General features: G+C 46.2%; 1 protein-coding gene and 2 long non-coding RNA genes across 4 annotated transcripts in view, besides 1 other annotated feature; 2 read left to right on the forward strand and 1 right to left on the reverse strand.

Annotated features, from left to right (window-relative positions):
- DLGAP2 (DLG associated protein 2) overlaps positions 1–22,639 on the forward strand; it is a 970,849-nt gene that overhangs the window by 690,251 nt on the left and 257,959 nt on the right. The window lies entirely within an intron of this gene.
- On the reverse strand, positions 1,107–9,118 carry LOC105377775 (uncharacterized). 2 transcript variants are annotated; one of them, XR_941345.4, is made up of 3 exons: positions 9,030–9,118; positions 1,437–1,576; positions 1,107–1,229 (listed from the first exon to the last, which is right to left on the reverse strand). It is a non-coding gene; the product is annotated as an uncharacterized LOC105377775 (long non-coding RNA). The 2 variants fall into 2 exon arrangements; XR_941346.3 differs by lacking the exon at positions 9,030–9,118 and adding an exon at positions 1,707–1,796.
- On the forward strand, positions 2,210–13,465 carry LOC105379586 (uncharacterized). Its single transcript, XR_001745758.2, has 2 exons — positions 2,210–9,430; positions 11,730–13,465. It is a non-coding gene; the product is annotated as an uncharacterized LOC105379586 (long non-coding RNA).
- Positions 9,265–9,779: an enhancer, noted in NCBI's record as "H3K27ac-H3K4me1 hESC enhancer chr8:1385309-1385823 (GRCh37/hg19 assembly coordinates)". NCBI's record gives its function as "activates a minimal SCP1, AML or CMV promoter by ChIP-STARR-seq in naive H9 embryonic stem cells {active_cell/tissue: H9 hESC(naive)}" and the evidence as "EXISTENCE:reporter gene assay evidence [ECO:0000049][PMID:30033119]".

Consider the following 22,639-nt stretch of genomic DNA (forward strand, 5'->3'; position numbering starts at 1 on the left):
CTTCTCCATAATTCATAACTTAACAGTGCCGCAATGAATATTGTAAAATACTTGGAATTAATATAAAATGAACTTATATCAGTATTTGTAGGAAGACAGCTAAAATGCAACTTAGATTGCAACCTTAAAAGTTCATACATGTATTTATTGGAAAATGACAAGGAAAATAAAAATAAATGACTTACATAGCAAAATGAGCTAGAAAAAGAACAGAGTACGCTAAATAAAATAAGAGAAAGAAAATGATAAATATAAAATAAAAAATAATCAAAATAGAAAACAAAATGCTAGTTAGTTAAAAATAGACAATCTCTATCAAAACTCACCAAATCAGAAAAAAAATTTAAAGCCTATTAGAAATATAATTTTTTGAAAAAATATAACACAATGAGCAATTTTATGATGTAAAATTTAAAAAGCTAGATAAAAAGGACAATTTGTCTAAAAAATAAAATTGAACAATTCAGTGAGAATGCAAATAAACTTACTACCAGTAAATAAATCCATAATTTTAAATAACTAGATCTCTCTTTCCTTGAGAGAGAGAGAGAGAAAGAGTGAGTGAGTATGTGCCAGGGAATACAAAAGAGGGGAAAGCTACTTGGCTAACATGAGAATGATATATTCTTGGTAACAAAACAGGCCAAGGACAGAATAAGAAAAGAAAATTATAGGTCAGATTGACTGCTGGGAACAGATGGAAAATATTAAATAAGACATTAGACATTTACAGGTACAGAAGTATGCCTATGTATACCTAATAAATATGCATGTGCCCATACTTTTAACACAGTGATGGCTCTCAATCATGTAAGGTTTATCTCAGGAATGCAAGGATGGCTCAGTGCCAGCAAATGTGTCAAGTGGAAGCTTTGCAGGCAGGAAGAGGCCATGTGGCTCATATCAGTGCATGTGCTGCACACCCACATGGGAGAGCCTTAAACAAAATCTGGCATGCACGGTCTACATCCAGCTGCTCACTCACCAGCTAGGTGACTCCCATGCACAGGACGTCGTCTCATGCCCTGCTTGGCTATCTAGGGTGAGCCATCCTTGTTTTCCTGAGGTTTGGGCATTTCTGTTGTTAAAAGATCAACTTAGGCACATTAAAATTCTGTGGAGTTTATTTGAACAGACAGCAGTTCATAAATTGGGCAGCACCAGACTGCAAGCAGTGTAGCACTTCTCTAGGGCTTCAGAGGTGAGACAGAAAATTTCATAAGTTGTTCCTGGAAACAAAACAAAACATGTTGGATTAGTTTGAAAAATCCCTACTTAGAGTTAATTGATAGTTTCTGATTGGTGGAGTCTCTACTTAGAGGTCAGTTGGCAGTTTCTGGATGGTAGAATTCCTACTTAGGGTTCAGCTGGTGGTTTCTGATTGGTAAGGGCTCTCGTTTCATTTCACCATTTACACGGGAGTTTGGTTTGCTTACATAGGAACTAAAAGTGCTGGGGCCATCCCAGCCCATTGGCCTCCGAATTAAACTTTCGTTAACACTGTAGTGGCTGCTGTCACTCACTGTGAGCTCATGGGGTCCAGGATTGTGTCTTGTTCATTGCTGTGGCTTCCATACTAAACAAAGTACAGGAGACATAAGAGATACAAAAGGCTGGGTTAACGTGCTGATGGTGTGTAAGCTGAAGATGACTTAGGGACATGGAACACTGCCCTTTTGTGAAACATTCTTACAATAACAACTTACAAGAACTAATCCTAAAGACAGTCATCCACAGCCACTGAGAGGAGGGGAGAAATATGTTCCACTGCCCGGTGTCAGCACAGTTAAAACCAGCAGGGATGAGCCTGCAGCAGGCACATGGCACAACTCTCCAAGCAGACCTCTACTCCCCAGCTTCAATCCCAGTGCTTTCCATTTACACATAGAGGATATTCAGTGCATGCTTCACACTGAGGCAGAAAAGCAGGGTTTTTCTGTCCTTAAAAAAAATAAGCAGTATTCATCTGATTTGTCCAAGGTGATCTGGCCATTCATTGTGGAGTCAAGCCGATGCTCAGAACCCATTTTACCTTCATCATACACGGCCTTCTGCTTAATTTTCAGATATGCACCTGAAAATATCATCCTGCAGAATGAAAGCAGAAGGGGAGAGATGCATATATATACATATATATATATATATATATACACACACACACATATGAACTTAGAATTCATTTTTAGTGAGAATAATTATGTTACTGTGTGGTAAAATAAACCACTGCCGCAGCATTTTGCCTTTTAGGATAATTTTATGGCTCCTTAGGAGGTTTCAGCACTCACTTTAAAGGTGACATTCTCTGCAAAAATACTTTAATCCCTATATGTCACCAATGATCTGTGATTCCTTTGGTTAGATTTTAATTTAGATTCTACATAAGCATTCGAAATCCTCCTTGCTAAAAATAAGAAGAAAATAATAGTACAGATTAAATCTTTAGTGGCTTCATTGCTTTATAGAGGAACTTAGCCACATTTACGTTGCATTGCGAATGTGTGGCTGTTTTCTCAAATACAAGGAAGTCATGCTGATGTTTCTTCAAGGTCGGTTTGATCAAATCACATTAGGCAAAGGACTTTAAGCTGGTCTTCTAGCAGAAGAAGCCTGGAAAGACTGATGTTTGCAAAGCCTAGGTCTACAGGCCTTGTAGCTAAGGTGACTCAGACAAACCCCATTGCTTCTGGGCCTCAGAGGTTTTGTATTTAAAATGAAGATCAGACCATGGATCTCACACAGTTGCCTATGACTGCTCTTCTATGAGATTGAGAGGAGTTTGTGACCTGCCTTTCATACTTTCTTGAAGAAAAATTAATCATTTTAAGTATTCTTTTCTATCACAGTTTTCTTCCACTCAGAAATATCTTCAACCTGCAGATCCAAAAATAAGATGAACAGTTATTGAAACATCCTTTGTTAGTCTTTAAAGGACGACCCTGACACGTCTGACACATTAAATCAGGAATGGCACGGCAGCGTCTTTGATATCAGGCATTGGCAATAATGAATGAATAATGAAAAGATCTGGTTTCCTATTCTGACTCGGCTGTTGACTGTCTCTGGGGTTCTGGGCAAGTCATTACCTTCTCTTTTACTTCAAGTCTCCTATTTACAAGATGAGGCTAGCACTCATGCCCCTCTTACGGAAAGGAACAAAGCAAATATTTGGACATAGAAACAAAAATGTGCCTGCAAACTGTAAAATGGGAAGCAAAGGCTACTACTATTATTTCAATTGTTACAACCCAGTGTACAGAGAACAGAAACACATGCGATTCAAATACAAGTCAGTGAGCTGAAATGTCTTTCATGCCTGTTACAGGCCGTTAGCAAAAGTTACATTTTCTGTCAATCTGACACATCATTAGAATCATTATGTGTAAGTCCCGATTCAATGTTTTGTAATGTTTTTAAAGACTAAAACTCACTAAATTTAATGTTTAGTAATAGAGTAGGGGCTTTATTCATCTGTTCATTCATTGTGCTCCTTGACTGCACGTCTGATCCATGCTGACAACCTACTGGGCGTCAGCACTGTGTCAAGCTCAGTTCCGTTGGCTGACCAGGTAGACTCTACCCGTGGGCAAAGGACAATGCATAGAAACAGCAGCAGAAAGAAGAAGAGAAAGGAGAAAGGAAGAGGCAGCCAGCTGCCTGGCGCTCAGCAGCCGTTCATGCACGAGTTCCCAGGCCAAAGGCAGCACTGGCCACATCCACCTGTATAAAGAGTCAGCTGACCTATCACAGGCTCGCTGGCGTGGTGATGAGACCGGGGCTTGTCCTTCCAGTGTAGCTTTCAGTCCGACTGCGGAGTGGAGGCACTGGCTCCCGGGCTTACTCTCCTGGGCTATTGGGCAGCTTACTCAGCCTTCCTTTTCTTTAGTTTGGTGTTTTCATTTGTAAAATGAAGACACTGATGCGTGCATGACAGGGACTCTTCTGATGCCTCCGTGTCGATGGCCACCAAGCCCTGAGAACCCTGCCGGCACCCAGCACCCCATGCCAGCCAGCACCGCTACGGCTGCCATCCATCAGGGCTGAACCCTGCCGGCACCCAGCACCCCATGCCAGCCAGCACCGCTACGGCTGCCATCCATCGGGGCTGAATCCTGCCGGCACCCAGCACCCCATGCCAGCCAGCACCGCTACGGCTGCCATCCATCGGGGCTGAACCCTGCCGGCACCCAGCACCCCATGCCAGCCAGCACTGCTACAGGCTGCCATCCATCGGGGCTGAACTCTGGCGTTTGATCATTCGGGGCTAGTTCCACTTCACATACTCATAAGGAAACAAGTGTTTCTCTTTCTGCTTTTTTGCCCCATATTTCATTGCTGTAAAAGCCAGTGGCTAAGATGAAGATTGCAGCATTTAAAAATTCTTTATTGATTGGCTTTGCTTCCTCTACAAAAGCAGCTGCCAAATTTAATCTGAGAAACTGCTTTTATATTCAAGAAATTCTATGCACCTTAAAAAAATAATGGTAGAGGGGATGAAACATCCACTTAACTGAAAGAAGTTAGAATCTGGGGATTAGCCCAACCAAGGAAGCCACAGTCCTGTCTAAATGTTTATTTGTCATTTTCCCATAAAGATTCATGGGGCATATTGTCTTGAAATTGCCACTGAAATTGTTGACTGGGGAGAGGAGACAAAAGAGATGGGCGAGGGAGTCCAGGGTGTGGAATTTATGAAACTTTGTCTTTTGTAGTTGTAGTTCTAGAAAGTCAAGGCCTTTTAAGTTAATTGTAAAAACACATTTGACATTTTCATATTGAAGGCACTGGCCCTGAGCTGTTCTCTTCTGTGTCTGTCATGTCGGCATGCTGTGAATTTGGCTGGTGAGATGCCAGGGCCTCTGGGGACCTCCATGACCTGCCAGCATGCAGGTTACGGGTGATTCCCGCGATCGCGTGTTTGGATTAAACCAGGTTCAGCGGGAGTCGCCTGGTCCAGACACACTGGACCCCGGTGACTTGGGTCCTGACACAGACTGGCCGAGCTGGGGGCGTCCCCAGAGACCAGAGACCCTGGGAATGGCGAGCATCGAGGCGCGGAGTTGCATGGAAGACCCAGGGCCCGCTGTGCTGCTGACTGCTCCAGGACTCACAGGCGGCTGGACCTCCATGGAGGTGACCCCCACAGTCTGCTCTCCTCATGATTCTGCCAAGTTTTAGTCCCAGGGCACTTAACATAGGCTTTGGGACTCCCTTGCCGAGCCACACGTCCCCAGTGTGTGGGTGGGAGTCAGCAGGGGAGGAAGCCCCCGCCATGAGCCCAAAGCCCCTCCAGGAACGTGCGGGACTTGGGTTCCATGAACTCTTGAAGGAGCTTACCTTGAAAATAAGTCACTGAAGATGCTTCCTGTGCCTCTGGCAACAGAACCCATCCAGCTCTCTGCTCTACATGTTCCGAAACAACCCCTGTACTGGTCCAGCTGTGGCCGTCAGGGGCATCCAGTCCTAGGAGTGCATGGCCTACGTGTAGCACAAACAGGAGGGGTTGGTCCTGCCAGGCACCCGCTGCGGTGGCCAGGCCCAAGCACCCGAACCACGTGGTTTAGAAAGGTCTTTTTGCAAAGGTGCTTGCTGCTGAGCCCGTGAGGCTGCTGTGGTGTGCAAGTGTACAGATGGTGCTGTCTGGTGAGCCCACCCGAGTAGGTCCTCGAGCTGGATGACACATTTGAAGAATAGTCCTAATCAATAAGGTGCACAGTCGGACACTGGGCAGCCAACGCAGCTGACCGACTTGGAATTTTTTCTGTATCCACAAACACACATTTGGCAAACCACTGAACACTGGTTAGGTGCCTGGAGTTTTGCTAGACACTGAAGATAAATACACAGATGAGGCAAAACTGGCTTTTTTTTTTTTTTTTTTGCTAGGAGAGTTCAGATATTGTGTTGACAGCTGAGCAGGTCATATTTGTAGGAATCCAAATTTTTATTAAATGGTATAAACCTCTGCTTATTTGTTCTAAATTTCTCCATGATGCACATGGAATCCAGTGCTGTCCATGGTCCCTGGGGTCCTTACACTCTCAGAAACCGAGAATAACACCTCTTTGCAAACCACAAGCCAAGATTCTTTATGTAAATGTTATTGGAGAGAAAGAAGGGACTTGGGCATCTCACTAAGCCTCTCCATGCCCTGCAAGAAAGTGTTTTTGCGAAGTCCCAGAAATGGCGCTGAATGAGGCTCTGTGCTATGGGCGTGGCTGCTTTGCAGGTGGAGCATGGAGACGTGGCCGCAGGGCTGAGGGTTTCGCATTGGAGGATTAATATGACCGTCAGCAGCTCAGCCGCTCTCTCTTTCTGGGTGGGTTTCATCTTGGTAAATGTGGATTCTCAGACTGGCCCTGAGGAAATCTCGTTCCGTTTTCCTGCAGATTATCTGAGTCTGCAGAGATGGGGTCCTTGAGTGACCCAGGAGGCTGACAGGAGACACCAGGTGGAAGAGCCATGTGGGAAGTAGCCTCACGTGCAGACAGCAAGCACTCCACCTGCCTGGCCCATCTCCTGTGTAAGAGAGAGCCCTTAGCATCCTGCCACACCCACCACTGGGTCACTGAGCTACCTCCCGGGAGTGTCAGCATTTTGGGTTTTGGGTTTTTTTTTTGAGACAGTGTCTCACTCTGTTTCCCAGCCTGGAGGGCAGTGGTACAATCTTGGCTCACTGCAGGCTCAACCTCCTGGGCTCAAGCAATCCTCCCACTTCAAGTTCCCGAGTAGCTGGGACTACAGGCGTGCGCCACCACACCAGGCTAATTTTTGTGTTTTAGTAGAGATGGGGTGTCACTATGTTGCCCTGGCTGATCTCGAACTCCAGACTCAGGCAATCTTCCAGCCTTTGTCTTCCAAAGTGCTGGGATTACAGGCTTGAGCCACTGTGCCCGGCCGTCATTGGCATTTTGAGAAACAGAAAATGCTCCGTGAACATGAGTAACATGCATTATCGTTCCTTCCTCCTCCCTTCATCCTTCCTCCCCTCCCTCCTCCATGGTATCATCATCCTTCTTATCACTGGGCTTTGATGCAGGAATGGGCGTGCCTGGTCTGCATGTCACATGCCTCTGGCCCTGGACTCTTGATCTTGTGGATCCAGATGTACAACATTCAGTACTCTGTGTTATTCTTCCTAAAACTTGAGCTTTGCCAACATTTCAATGGTCACTTTGGCTCCGCCGTCCTTATTGCTCCTGGAAGCTTAGGGACCCAGGGCCCTTCCAACCTACTCGGGCCTACTGTGTCCTCTTGTATTTTGTGAACAAGCACAGTTTGGGGATATTTGGGTTTAAGCCCCAGATCTTCCACATTAGCTGTGTGACTTGAGCAGCTTTTGTAGATTTTGGGGTGGTAGTGGAATGAGGGCAACAAAGCCTTTTTGTAAGAATAAATGTGAGTTAAGTGCCATCCATCGGAAGCAGGCAAGGGCTTTATAACCTCCCACACCGGCGCTTTGACTACATCACGCACCGCACACGGGTGTTTCAGTCAAAGACAAACTGCAGGTGCAGCGGTGGCCCTGTAAGATTATCATCAGCTGGAAGACTCCTACTGTCCAGTGACCTCATAGCCGTCACAATGCATGACTCACGTGTGACTTACCCTGGTAGAGAAACCCCCTGTGCAGCCACCGTACGGAAGTGTAGCCGTAGAGGGATGCGCAGTGCATCTTGTGATGGTGCTGACAGACGACCATGTTGCTGGTTTATGCATCTGGGATACTGTACGTTTCATTATTATTTTAGAGTGCGCTCCTTCTGCTTGTGGAAAACCATTATCTGTAAAGAGCCCTGGGCCAGTCCTTCAGGAGGTGTCCGGAAGAAGGCACTGTGGTCGTAGGCGATGGCAGCTCCACGTCTGTCACCGCCACTGCCCCTTAAGTCCTAACAGTGGGACAGGAAGTGAAGCTGGAAGATGGTGATATCGACAGTCCTGACCCTGCGCAGGTAGAGGCTGATGTGTTTTTGGGTCTTAGTGCTTAACAAGAGAGTTTAAAAAGTAAATTTAAAAATTAAAGATTAAAAATAGTAAAAGGGTTATAGAATAAGAATATAAAGAAAAATATTTGTACAGCTGTACAATGCATTTGTGTTTTAAGCTCAGCCTTACAAGAGAGTCAAACAGTTTTAAAAATAAAATAAAGTACAAGAGTTACAGTGTGTGTATGAGTCTGGGTTCTCTAGAGGGACAGGACTAATAGGATAGGTGTATATATGAAAGGGAGTTTATTGAGGAGAATTGACTCACAACCACAAGGTGAACTCCCACCACAAGCCGTCTGCAAGCTGAGGAACCAGGAAGCCAGTCCGAGGCCCAAAACCTCAAAAGCAGGGAAGCCGGCAGTGCAGCCTTCAGTCTGTGGCCAAAGGCCTGAGAGCCCCGGGCAAACCACTGGTGTGAGTCCAAGAGTCCAAAAGCTGAAGAACTTGGAGTCTGATGTTCAAGGGCAGGAGGCATCCAGCATGGGAGAAACATGGAGGCTGGAAGACTCAGCCAGTCCAGTCCTTCCACCTTCCTCTGCCTGCTTTTATCCTAGCCGTGCTGGCAGCCGAATAGATGGTGCCCACCCAGACTGAGGGTGGGTCTGCCTCTCCCAGCCCACTGACTCCAGTGTTAATCTCCTTTGGAAACACCCTCACAGACAACCCAGGACAATACTTTGCATCCTTCAATCCAATCAGGTTGACACTCCATATTAACCATCACAGTATGCTAAGGTTAACTTATTATTGAGGAATGAAAAGTATTTTTTGAAAATTGAATGTAGCCCAAGTTTGCAGTGTGTGTAGAGTCTACAGTAGCATACAGTGATGTCTCGGGCCGCGCATTCACTCCCCACTCACCCATTCACTCACCCACTTACCCATTCACCCACCCACTCACCCGGTCACCCAGAGCAGCTTCGGGTTCTGCAAGTTCCATTCATGGTGAGTGTCCTCTGCAGACGTACCATTTTTAACCTTTTGTACCATATTTTTACTGTAGCTTTTCTATGTGGAGACATGTTGAGATACACAACTTCTTACCCCTGTGTTACAGTTTTCTACAGTCTTCAGTGCAGTCACACGCTGTGCAGGTGCAGCCTGGGAGCAGGAGGCCTATGCCGTTCGGCCCAGGCGTGTAGGGGCGACGCCATCCGGGTCTGCGTTCAGCCCAGGCGCGTAAGGGTGACGCCATCCGGGTCTGCGTTCAGCCCAGGCGCGTAGGGGTGACGCCATCCGGGTCTCCGTTCAGCCCAGGCGCGTAAGGGTGACGCCATCCGGGTCTGCGTTCAGCGCAGGCGCGTAAGGGTGACGCCATCCGGGTCTGCGTTCAGCCCAGGCGCGTAAGGGTGACGCCATCCGGGTCTGCGTTCAGCCCAGGCGCGTAAGGGTGACGCCATCCGGGTCTCCGTTCAGCCCAGGCATGCAGGCGCGAAGCCATGCGGGTTTGTATCAGTGCGCTCCACAATGCTCACACAACCACGAGGCCACCTTACGTTTCTCTGAATGTGCCCCCTCATTAAGTGGCACATGACTGTACTTATTACTTGTAATGATGGAACGTAGAACCCCACTGGTTTGTAGCGTAAGACGATGTTTTCGGTGAAGCGCTATTTTACCAAATTTCTGAGCAGGTTCTGACATCGACCTAACCTCCTGGAACACCTTAGTTCACGTGGATGGATGGATCAGAGTACACAGAACGCTATCTGAGTGGTGAATTAATTCCTTTTGTGATTCCTAATTGTGTGAGGAAAAGTTATTTCCCCTCCATCAGCTTTTTTTCTGTAAATATGCATCAGTTTATACATTAAAAATAAATATCACCGGCCGGTGGCTCATGCCTGTAATCCCAGCACTTTGGGAGGCGAAGGCAGGTGGATCATTTGAGGTCAGGAGTTCGAGACTAGCCTGACCAACATTGTGAAACCCCGTCTCTACTAAAAATACAAAAAAAAAAAAAAAAAAAAAAATTAGCCGGGCGTGATGTCATGTGCCTGTAATCCCAGCTACTCGGGAGGCTGAGACAGGAGAATTGCTTGAACCCTGGAGATGGAGGTTGCAGTGAACCGAGATTGCACCACTGCACTCCAGCCTGGGCGACAAGAGCAAAACTCCATCTCAAAAAAATAAAATGAATAAAATAAAAACCAAAGTAGGAAAAGAGGCCTAAGTTAAAATTTGGTATAGAGGATTTCTCGAGTTGTGGGCTGTTTTCACTTCAGAAACACCTGCTGGTCCCCAGAAGTCAGTACTCCTGTCTCAGGAAGTGCCGGAGGAAGTGCTCCCATCGTGTGGGTGTGGTTACGAGGGGCAACCAGCGCTAGCCACCTGGTTCTTTTAAAATGCATTTTAAATAGAGTGTGTCTCAGACTTTGAAGTCTTTCCCCATCCCAGTTTCCTCCCCCAACCATGTCATGGATATGAGGAAGGGTAAGGGGTCTTTCCATTACTGAGAATTAAAACCAGAAGACCAGTTACAGTTAGCGTTTTGGTCTTAAATCTCATCAGATTCGCTGCTTAGGAGGCCATTTTAGTGCGTTGCTAAGGGAGTTTTTCCAAAGAATAAAATTGCTAATTTAACTTAACAGTAACAAGGCCCAAAGAGCTGTGGCTTTTTAAAAAAAAACCACCATACGTATGTAAGTGGTGACTCACCACTAGCTTTTGACTAAGTAATTTTTTTCTTTTCAAAAGAATGGCTGATATCGAAAATATTTTAGTGAAACTAGCAGTGAGGAAAGAACCGAGAACTATTTTATACATGGAGAAAAAGCCGGGCAACACTCGCCAGAGTTTTCTCCTCCAAGGGCAGGATTTGATCTATCACAATACACACTTCATCAGAAAATCACTTCCGCATGCACAGACTGTGATAACAACGAAATTCTTAGAATGGAGGCGGCAGCAGGCTCTAAAGATATGTTGCTGGTTGCTATGGAAACTGCCATCCACAAATGTTTCCTGAGCAGAATCTGGTTGGAAGTGGAATGGGCTGTAATACCAATATCGTAATATTCACCTTCTCCTTCATTTTTTTTACTAGAAAAAAGCACGTTCACAATTGTGAAGCATGAAAATAGGAACATTTTGTTAAAATAAGATTGGCCACTTTATAATAGCTTCTTATGAAGAAACAAAGCTTATGTTTTATGAAGCTTATGAAGAAACAAAGCTTCAGTGTAGAGTCAGACGAGTGTAAATGGGAGAGGAGAGAACGCACATGCTGGGCTGAGAAAGTGGTGACTTTATCCTCCCTAATGATTTATGGAGCCACGTGGAGCGTTAAGTGCTGAGAATTTAAGAGAATGAATGAAAAGCATAGTCCGCCCAGCCCCTCCCCTCCAGAGGCAGGAGCATGGTCACCGGCGCCAGGACTGAACAGCACGTGGCAGCCGGGTTCTGATGGAAGAGGGAAGGGAAGGAGGGACAGAGGCTGTGGGGGTTTTAGGAGGAAGCTTCGCGCTGTCTGTGGGAGCTAGAGGTGGATAATGACAGCACAGTCATTGCCACGGTCCTGCCGTGTACCCTGTGCCCTCCGGAGCCTCTGCGTGTCCTCTCTAGTTCCTCACGGGAGCCCACGCAGCAGGACCTGCTGCCCAGCCTTGCTGACCAGGGCTCCAGGGCTCAGCCCTGTCATCAGAGGCCCACAGTGGCTATGTTGCTGAGCTGAGATCCTAACGTGGGCCTCGCTCAGTCCCACGGCAACACGGTCTCCAGTCACTTTCCTTCCTTTTTTTCTAGACAAATAGAACGTTGCAGGCAGAAGGACGGAGTGCGCAGAGAGACAGGGTCTCGAAACTGAAACGGCAACGTGAGCAGTATGTCTCCTGCTCACCTTCTTCCCGCCATCCCCTAGGCTGCTTTGGATGAGCCACATGTGCCCACCCTCTCCCCACCATCCCCCAGACTGCTTCCGATGAGCCACGTGTGCACACAGGGCCTGGCATTTGAGGGCAGAGATGTTGCATAGTGAGGTGCTTGCTCTGGAGGCCTCTTGTGTGAAGAGACATGAGACTGTTGATGGGCTGAATGTCCTCATCCCTAGACAATGACAGTGAACGGAGTTTTTATTAAGGTCACAGTATATTTTGATATTTGAGCACCTATGATGTGCAAGTCACCAGAGCCACACTCTAGTAAGTGATAGAGTGAGGATGTAAAGATACAGATGTGGTTTAAAGACTCTTCTCAACCTCTGAGCTCAGCTACCTCTCAGGTCCCATTATTCTAGAAAGCAGAAATGTGAGATTTTACTCCTCTTCATTTTAAGAAGAAAAAAAGGAAGTCTGTTAAAGTAAGGGGAGAAAAGACCCTGATACAACTTCCACCAAATATAAAACAGACATAGCCCTAAATTGTGGTATAAATCGGGTATCTATTTTGAGTTCAAGTTCTCCTTTAGCATACTTTTAAATTCAGGGTGTTACAGTTTATTGAATTTAACATTAAAATGGACTCACGTGGGAAATGGAGTCAATATTTTATACATTGAATTTTGCGTTACGTTTCAAAAGTGAATGTAAATATACAGGTGTAAAACCAGCTGGATGGCACACAGGCACTCCGCTGCGAGTGCACGGCCCACCCTGCCCGAATGCAGAGAAACACTAGAAGCTCTTGAGCCAGCAGAGAGAAAACCCAGAGAGTCTGAGTGGAATCTGTTAGCCGTGCAAATGTTACACAATGCACATTTGCTATGACACAAATCTAAGACTAAAGGGGGAAAACGGCAGAAATTTTAGAAGACTCATGGGCTCTCCTGAATAAAAATCCTGCTGAACTAGTGACCGGCTGAGCGTGGATTGTCGGGTGAGCCGCCCTCTGGGTCCTGAAGGGCCCTTGGTGTCTCTTTACAGAGAAGCAACCCCGACATTGGTGGAGGCAAGCGCTCGTGGCAGATGAACCTGCAGATGAGGCTGGGCACTGCCCAGCTTATGAGGACAAATGGCTCTTTTTATATTCCAGCAACCACGGAACTCTCTGGAGTGCCCAGGGCTGTTTTAGGACATCCTAAACTGCTACTTTCATGCCAAGTTTGGAGGACTGTCTTCTGAAATATCTTTTATAAAAACAAATTTAATGCAAAAGCACGTAAGTCTACATGAAACCCTCCCAGCACGGGTTTTCCAGCCAAATGGTAGGGGCATACATAGAAAAATGAAACATTTGTGGTTGTGTTTTCAAGGCAGAAAAGATGCTGAAGGGAAAAGTCTATGTTCGAAACATAATCCCAGAATAAAAAGCTCCAAGAAATGCAGTTTTGAGGAAGTATTATCTAAACAAAGAGATGTATTAATATAATTGATGTGCAATATTTATTCAGTGTTAATCTTTTCATTAAAATGCATCCTGAGTTTTCATAAATTCTGGCAGATTTAATTATGTATATACTGCTTATCGTTGTATTTTAAAATTGCATAAAATTACGTTACTTATGTCTGTGCTTCTTAAATAATAGAAATGTCTTCACGCCCCTACTTTTGTTAATTGTTCACTGTTTCTGAGAGCGATCAACCTAAGGCCCCATTTAAAGTAGAACTTGGCCGGGCATGGTGGCTCACTCCTGTAATCACAGCACTTTGGGAGGCCGAGGTGGGCAGATCACAAGGTCAAGAGATCAAGACCATCCTGGCAAACATGGTGAAACCCCGTCTCTACTAAAAGTACAAAAATTAGCCAGGCGTGTTGGTGGGCACCTGTGGTCCCAGCTACTCAGGAGGCTGAGGCAGGAGAATCGCTTGAGCCCAGGAGGCGGAGGTTGCAGTGAGCCGAGATCACACCACTGCACTCCAGCCTGGGCAACATAGACTCCATCTCAAAAAAAAAAAAAAAAAAAGTAAAACTCATATTTAGCATCACTGTTGGATGTGAAATTTGCCCTCTCAGCTTGTGAGAGTGGGCTTTCAACAGCTTGACCAGTTTTTTTTTTTTTATTTAATTTAATTTAATTTAAAGTTCTGGGATGTGCAGGACATGCAGGTTTGTTACGTAGGTAAACATGCTCCACAGGGTTGCTGCACCTATCAATGTGGTCCATATACACTATGGAATACTATGCGGCCATGAAAAGGGACAAGATCATGTATTTTGCAGGGACAGGGATGGAGCTGGAAACCATGATCCTCAGCAAACTAACACAGGAAGAGCGTGACCAGTTTCTAAGGGGAACTGTGCACACAGACCCAGAGGGCACCTTACTAAACTCAGGAGCAACAGAGTGAGCATGTGTCTCCTCTGACCTGGCTAGGAGACAGATCCAGGCATAGACCCTCTGGGCTGCTGTGGGTTCAGCCACTGGAGGAGGAGATGGATCCAGGCATAGACCTGCCAGGCTGCTGATGGGTTCAGCCACCGGGGGAGACGGACCCAGGCATAGACCCGCCAGGCTGCTGTGGGTTCAGCCACTGGAGAAGGAGATGGATCCAGTCATAGACCTGCCAGGCTGCTGATGGGTTCAGCCACTGGGGGAGATGGATCCAGGCATAGACCCGCCAAGCTGCTGTGGGTTCAGCCACTGGAGGAGACGGATCCGGGCATAGACCCGCCAGGCTGCTGTGGGTTCAGCCACTGGAGGAGACGGATCCGGGCATAGACCCGCCAGGCTGCTGGGGGTTCAGCCACTGGGGGAGACGGATCCGGGCATAGACCCGCCAGGCTGCTGTGGGTTCAGCCACTGGGGGAGACGGATCCGGGCGTAGACCCGCCAGGCTGCTGTGGGTTCAGCCACTGGGGGAGACGGATCGGGGCATAGACCCGCCAGGCTGATGTGGGTTCAGCCACTGGAGGAGACGGATCCGGGCATAGACCCGCCAGGCTGCTGTGGGTTCATCCACTGGAGGAGACGGATCCGGGCATAGACCCGCCAGGCTGCTGTGGGTTCAGCCACTGGAGGAGACGGATCCGGGCATAGACCCACCAGGCTGCTGGGGGTTCAGCCACTGGGGGAGACGGATCCAGGCATAGACCCTCTAGGCTGCTGTGGGTTTAGCCACTGGGATTGTCCTGTAAACCACAGGATCCTGAGTCTAGCTATTTGTATGACATAAATTTGCTTACATCTTTTACCGTAAACACGAGTTCTGAAAGCAAGCAAAACTTATTTGCTTACGTACTTATGGAAGCTCTTGTAGTTAAGATTTTAAAATTAACTTTATCATTCTTTTAACATTTAGTGCATTTCTCTTTGTTAGACAACCCTTAGTTACATTATCATTTTAATACTGCAAATACATGGAAAGTATGTAGTTAAAAAAACATGAAAAGTTTTATGTTATGAAAGTCATAATCATTACAGAAAAACTTAGAAAACATAGATCAACATGAAAAGATATTGACATATAATCCCAGCGCCCAGCCTTCCCTCCACTGCCCACAGATAATCGCAGGTAACATTTGGATGTTAATACTTCCAGCCTTCCCTCCACTGCCCAGAGATAATCGCGGGTAACATTTGGATGTTAATACTTCCAGCCTTCCCTCCACTGCCCAGAGATAATCGCGGGTAACATTTGGATGTTAATACTTCCAGCCTTCCCTCTAGCGGCTGTACATGGGTTTATTTCTGCCAGTTTCACTTAATGCTTCATGAATATATTCTCACATCCCTCAGTCTTCTCCTGCAAGAGAGGGGTGGCGTGGTGTATTCGTCTGTTCTCACCCTGCTAATAAAGACAAACCTGAGACTGGGTAATTTATAGAGGAAAGAGGTTTAATGGACTCACAGTTCCACACGGCTGGGGAGGCCTCACGATCATGGCAGAAGGTGAATGAGCAGCAAAGTCACATCTTACATGGTGGCAGAGAAGACGGCTTGTGCAGGGGAACTGCCCTTTATAAAATCATCAAATCTAGTGAGACTTACTACCATGAGAAGAGTATGGGGGAAACTGCCCTCGTGATTCAATTATCTCCACCTGGCCCCACCCTTGACACGTGGGGATTATTACAATTCAAGATGAGATTTGGGCAGGGACACAGCCAAACCATGTCTCATGGCTAAAATGTTCAGGGTGAGTGACTTGGAAGTGGTACTGATAAAAAACAAAAGCCTTCATTGATTAAAAGCAATAACTTTAGCTCTATAACAAGACAGAGCTGTGACTTAAGCTTTCTAGGACTGTCAGAAGCATGCCAATTATGAGTTTTCCAGTGTTCATGATCATTGTACTCATGCTGAATATGTGGATGGAGGAAAAAAACCATGCTCTCCCTACACCTCCCTCTACCTTAAGCTCCAGTGCTTTTTGTCTCTCTCCGTTGCCCAGGCTGGAGTGCAGTGGCGCGATCATAGCTCACTACAGCCTTGAACTCCTGGCCTCAAGCGATCCTGTTGCCTTGGCCTCCCACAGCTCTGGGATTATAGGCATGAGTCACTGCACCCGTCTCAATATCATCGTCTTCAATACTATGGCTGAAATATAATTTGCTTAACCAACTCCATATTAATGGGCACTTACACGGTATTAGAGTTTTTAACTGTTAACAACACTACCAAATACTCAAATTGCTACTGAAAAGGGACATTGTGGCTTTCTTCATTTCTGGAGGTCAGTGTCTACAATATTTCCATATTTAAGGCCTTCCCTAACCTTGTTTTGTTTGATGTCTTTCATCTGCCTTCATTTGCATGGTGGGTCTTTGCATTTCTTATGGAATTTTTTAAGAGAGAAAGAGACAGTGTGCCTGATCCTTCAAAGAGCACATTGACAATGCTCCGTGATTCCGAGAACCCTCCCTCCACCTCCTTCTCCATCATCCCTCCTTCAGGGTCTTCTTTCCCCATTTCCAGGTTGATGGTCCCATGATTTTGACTCAGTGTCACCATCTGCAGTCCCCTTTCTCCCCTGCTTACTCCTGTAGTAGGCATAGTAGGCATTTCATGATCATGCTTTGAGCCAGGTCATTCTTTTTTTTTTTTTTTTTTTTTTTTTGAGACGTAGTTTCACTCTTGTCACTCAGGCTGGAGTGCAGTGGCGTGACCTCGGCTGACTGCAACCACCGTCTTCCAATTCAGGCAATTCTACTGCCTCCCGAGTAGCTGGGATTATAGGCGTGTGCCCCATGCCCAGCTAATTTTTGTATTTTTAGTAGAGACAGGGTTTCACCGTGTTAGCCAGGATGATCTTGATCTCTTGACCTTGTGATCCACCCACCTCGGCCTCCCAAAGTGCTGGGATTACAGGCATGAGCCACCGCGCCCAGCCAGATCATTCTTTTTTTTTTTTTTTAATTATTATTATACTCTAAGTTTTAGGGTACATGTGTACAATGTGCAGGTTTGTTATACATGTATACATGTGCCATGCTGGTGTGCTGCACCCATTAACTCGTCATTTAGCATTAGGTATATCTCCTAATGCTATCCCTCCCCCCTCCCCCCACCCCACAACAGTCCCCAGAGTGTGATGTTCCCCTTTCTGTGTCCAAGTCTTCTAATTTGTTCAATTCCCACCTATGAGTGAGAACATGCAGTGTTTGGTTTTTTGTCCTTGCAATAATTTGCTGAGAATGGTGGTTTCCAGTTTCATCCATGTCCCTACAAAGGACATGAACTCTTCATTTTTTATGGCTGCATAGTATTCCATGGTGTATATGTGCCACATTTTCTTAATCCAGTCTATCGTTGTTGGACATTTGGGTTGGTTCCAAGTCTTTGCTATTGTGAATAGTGCCGCAATAAACACACGCGTGCACGTGTCTTTATAGCAGCATGATTTATAATCCCTTGGGTATATACCCAGTAATGGGATGGCTGGGTCAAATGGTATTTCTAGTTCTAGATCCCTGAGGAATTGCCACACTGACTTCCACAATGGTTGAACTAATTTACAGTCCCACTAACAGTGTAAAAGTGTTCCTATTTCTCCACATCCTCTCCAGCACCTGTTGTTTCCTGACTTTTTAATGATTGCCATTCTAACTGGTGTGAGATGGTATCTCACTGTGGTTTTGATTTGCATTTCTCTGATGGCCAGTGATGATGAGCATATTTTCATGTGGTTTTTGGCTGCATAAATGTCTTCTTTTGAGAAGTGTCTGTTCATATCATTCACCAACTTTTTGATGGGGTCGTTTGCTTTTTTTCTTGTAAATTTGTTTGAGTTCATTGTAGATTCTGGATATTAGCCCTTTGTCAGATGAGTAGGTTGCAAAAATTTTCTCCCATTTTGTAGGTTGCCTGTTCACTCTGATGGTAGTTTCTTTTGCTGTGCAGAAGCTCTTGAGTTTAATTAGATCCCATTTGTCAATTTTGGCTTTTGTTGCCATTGCTTTTGGTGTTTTAGACATGAAGTCCTTGCCCATGCCTATGTCCTGAATGGTATTGCCTAGGTTTTCTTCTAGGGTTTTTATGGTTTTAGGTCTAACATGTAAGTCTTTAATCGATCTTGAATTAATTTTTGTATAAGGTGTAAGGAAGGGATCCAGTTTCAGCTTTCTACATATGGCTAGCCAGTTTTCCCAGCACCATTTATTAAATAGGGAATCCTTTCCCCATTGCTTATTTTTGTCAGGTTTGTCAAAGATCAGATGGTTGTAGATATGTGGCATTATTTCTGAGGGCTCTGTTCTGTTCCATTGATCTATAGCTCTGTTTTGGTACCAGTACCATGCTGTTTTGGTTACTGTTGCCTTGTAGTATAGTTTGAAGTCAGGTAGTGTGATGCCTCCAGCTTTGTTCTTTTGGCTTAGGATTGACTTGGCGATGCGGGCTCTTTTTTGGTTCCATATGAACTTTAAAGTAGTTTTTTCCAATTCTGTGAAGAAAGTCATTGGTAGCTTGATGGGGATGGCATTGAATGTATAAATTACCTTGGGCAGTATGGCCATTTTCACAATATTGATTCTTCCTACCAATGATCATGGAATGTTGTTTCATTTCTTTGTATCCTCTTTTATTTCATTGAGCAGTGGTTTTTAGTTCTCATTAAAGAGGTCATTCACATCCCTTGTAAGTTGGATTCCTAGGTATTTTATTCTCTTTGAAGCAATTATGAATGGGAGTTCACTCATGATTTGGCTCTCTGTTTGCCTGTTATTGGTGTATAAGAATGCTTGTGATTTTTGTACATTGATTTTGTATCCTGAGACTTTGCTGAAGTTGCTTATCAGCTTAAGGAGATTTTGGGCTGAGACAATGGGGTTTTCTAGATATACAATGATGTCGTCTGCAAAGAGGGACAATTTGACTTCCTCTTTTCCTAATTGAATACCCTTTATTTCCTTCTCCTGCCTAATTGCCCTGGCCAGAACTTCCAGCACTAGGTTGAATAGGAGTGGTGAGAGAGGGCATCCCTGTCTTGTGCCAGTTTTCAAAGAGAATGTTTCCAGTTTTTGCCCATTCAGTATAATATTGCCTGTGGGTTTGTCATAGATAGCTCTTATTATTTTGGGATACATCCCATCTAATTTATTGAGAGTTTTTAGCATGAAGGTTGTTGAATTTTGTCAAAGGCCTTTTCTGCATCTATTGAGATAATCATGTGGTTTTTGTCTTTGGTTCTGTTTATATGCTGGATTACATTTATTGATTTGCATATGTTGAACCATCCTTGCATCCCAGGGATGAAGCCCACTTGATCATGGTGGATAAGCTTTTTGATGTGCTGCTGGATTCGGTTTGCCAGTATTTTATTGAGGATTTTTGCATCAATGCTCATCAAGGATATTGGTGTAAAATTCTCTTTTTCGGTTGTGTCTCTGCCCGGCTTTGGTATCAGAATGATGCTGGCCTCATAAAATGAGTTTGTGAGGATTCCATCTTTTTCTATTGATTGGAATAGTTTCAGAAGGAATGTTACCAGCTTCTCCTTGTGCCTCTGGTAGAATTCGGCTGTGAATCCATTTGGTCCTGGACTTTTTTTGGTTGGTAAGCTATTGATTATTGCCACAATTTCAGAGCCTGTTACTGGTCTATTCAGAGAGTCAACTTCTTCCTGGTTTAGTCTTGGGACAGTGTATGTGTTGAGGAATTTATCCATTTCTTCTAGATTTTCTAGTTTATATACGTAGAGGTGTTTGTAGTATTCTCTGATGGTAGTTTGTATTTCTGTGGGATCGGTGGTGATATCCCCTTTATCTTTTTTTATTGCATCTATTTGATTCTTCTCTCTTTTCTTCTTTATTAGTCTTGCTAGCAGTCTATCTATTTTGTTGATCTTTTCAAAAAACCAGCTCCTGGATTCATTAATTTTTTGAAGGGTTTTTTGTGTCTCTATTTCCTTCAGTTCTGCTCTGATTTTAGTTATTTCTTGCCTTCTGCTAGCTTTTGAATGTGTTCGCTCTTGCTTTTCTAGTTGTTTTAATTGTGACATTAGGGTGTTGATTTTGGATCTTTCCTGCTTTCTTTTGTGGGCATTTAGTGCGGTAAATTTCCCTCTACACACTGCTTTGAATGTGTCCCAGAGATTCTGGTATGTTGTGTCTTTGTTCTCGTTGGTTTCAAAGAACATCTTTATTTCTGCCTTCATTTTATTATGTACCTAGTAGTCATTCAGGAGCAGGTGGTTCAGTTTCCATGTAGTTGAGTGGTTTTGAGTGAGTTTCTTAGTCCTGACTTCCAGTTTGATTGCACTGTGGTCTGAGAGACAGTTTGTTATAATTTCTGTTCTTTTACATTTGCTGAGGAGAGCTTTACTTCCAACTATGTGGTCAATTTTGGAATAGGTGTGGTGTGGTGCTGAAAAAAATGTATATTCTGTTGATTTGGGGTGGAGAGTTCTGTAGATGTCTATTAGGTCCACTTGCTTATGTACTCAAACAAACACTATCACCCACAAAATAATACGGCTAAATAAATTTAATACTTCTGAGCAACTATCTTGAAGACTTTGATAGTTCTTTGCTATTGTTTTTAAATGTACTTTTTTCACTTGGAGACCCAACATTTTTGTTCTGCATTCCCGTTCCCCTCACTGCGTGCAAAAATCAATGCATGACATCAATCATTGCCCTGATCCGGCCATGGAAAGATTTGGAGAAAGCCTGGATTCTAATGTTGATCCTGACCCATAATAGCATGTCACATTTCAGATGTCTCTACAGTGGGTCAAACATGCAGCCGCTGCTGGGCCTTCAAGGAAGCAAAGTCTGTGTCCTTAGGTCACGCAAAGTCTGGTTTAAAAGCTGACGCATGTTCTGAGAGCTGTAGGCTGTGATGGGGAGGCTCAGCACGGGTCAGGGACGGCACATCCCGGCCCCCCAGAGCAGCTCTGGGAATGCCTCGTGCCTGTCATCCCGGCCTAATGATTATTAATTCCTGTTCTCTTTCCTCTCATCTTCCCCTGATGGGGAAAGTCACTTATATGATCACGCTGACCACACAGCACAGTTCTCAGCCCAGCTGAGCCTCCTATTGCCAGGGAGGTTTTTACACGTACCAATGAAGTCCTCACCCTGGTGATTCCGGGGTAATTGTTCTGAGACAGGGTCGGGCCATGATGGACTAAAGAGTGAAGGGTCACTGGGGCATGGGCAGGCATGCTTAGTCCAGCCCAGGCAGCTGCAGGAATTCTCTCAGAGTTGTCTTGGGGCTGGAGCTTCCAGGGGGACTCGAGTTTGACAGAGCTGGGAGTAGAGCTCAGCGTTTTGGGAAGAGCAGTGGGACGGGACGGCACCAGCGGGCATGGACCTGGGATGTCAGAGGCTCTCACAGCCAAGCTGCTGGCTTCCAGGCACCACAGCCACTGAGTCCTGTCTGCACCCAGACCCCGTTCCTGAGCTCCAGGGTGGGCCTGGCACTCTGCATTCTGAACGGGCAATGCTGAGGCTGAGGGTCCCTGGGCCACACTTGGAAAGGTCAAGGCTTCAGCAGAAGGTGGGAGCAGGGGGTGTGCAGATGACACCAGCTGCCAGGACAAGCCTTGCTGTAAGGATGCAGGATGCGAATGGGAGAGGCACCAAGGGCCGCAGAGAAGGAGCCGTGCTGCACTGGGCTGCCGTGAAGACGAGGTGGGCGGCCTCGGTGGCTGTGACTGTAGCGGAGCTGTGAGGGTGAAGACGAGGTGGGCGGCCTCGGTGGCTGAGGCGGAGCTGTGAGGGTGAAGACGAGGTGGGCGGCCTCGGTGGCTGAGGCGGAGCTGTGAGGGTGAAGACGAGGTGGGCGGCCTCGGTGACTGAGGCGGAGCTGTGAGGGTGAAGACGAGGTGGGCGGCTTCGGTGGCTGAGGCGGACGTGTGAGGGTGAAGACGAGGTGGGCGGCCTCGGTGGCTGTGACTGTAGCGGCGTGTGAGGGTGAAGACGAGGTGGGCGGCCTCCGTGGCTGAGGTGGAGCTCTGAGGGTGAAGACGAGGTGGGCGGCCCTGGTGCCTCGGGCAGAGCTCTGAGGGTGAAGACCGAGGTGGGCCGCCTCGGTGGCTGAGGCGGAGCTGTGAGGGTGAAGACGAGGTGGGCGGCCTCGGTGGCTGAGGCGGAGCTGTGAGGGTGAAGACGAGGTGGGCGGCCTCGGTGGCTGAGGCGGAGCTGTGAGGGTGAAGACGAGGTGGGCGACCTCGGTGGCTGAGGCTGAGCTGTGAGGGTGAAGATGAGGTGGGCGGCCTCGGTGGCTGAGGCTGAGCTGTGAGGGTGAAGACGAGGTGGGCGGCCTCGGTGGCTGTGGCTGAGGCTGAGCTGTGAGGGTGAAGATGAGGTGGGCGGCCTCGGTGGCTGAGGCGGAG

This window comes from Homo sapiens, chromosome 8, assembly GCF_000001405.40.
Source record: "Homo sapiens chromosome 8, GRCh38.p14 Primary Assembly".
Classification (NCBI taxonomy): domain Eukaryota; kingdom Metazoa; phylum Chordata; class Mammalia; order Primates; family Hominidae; genus Homo; species Homo sapiens.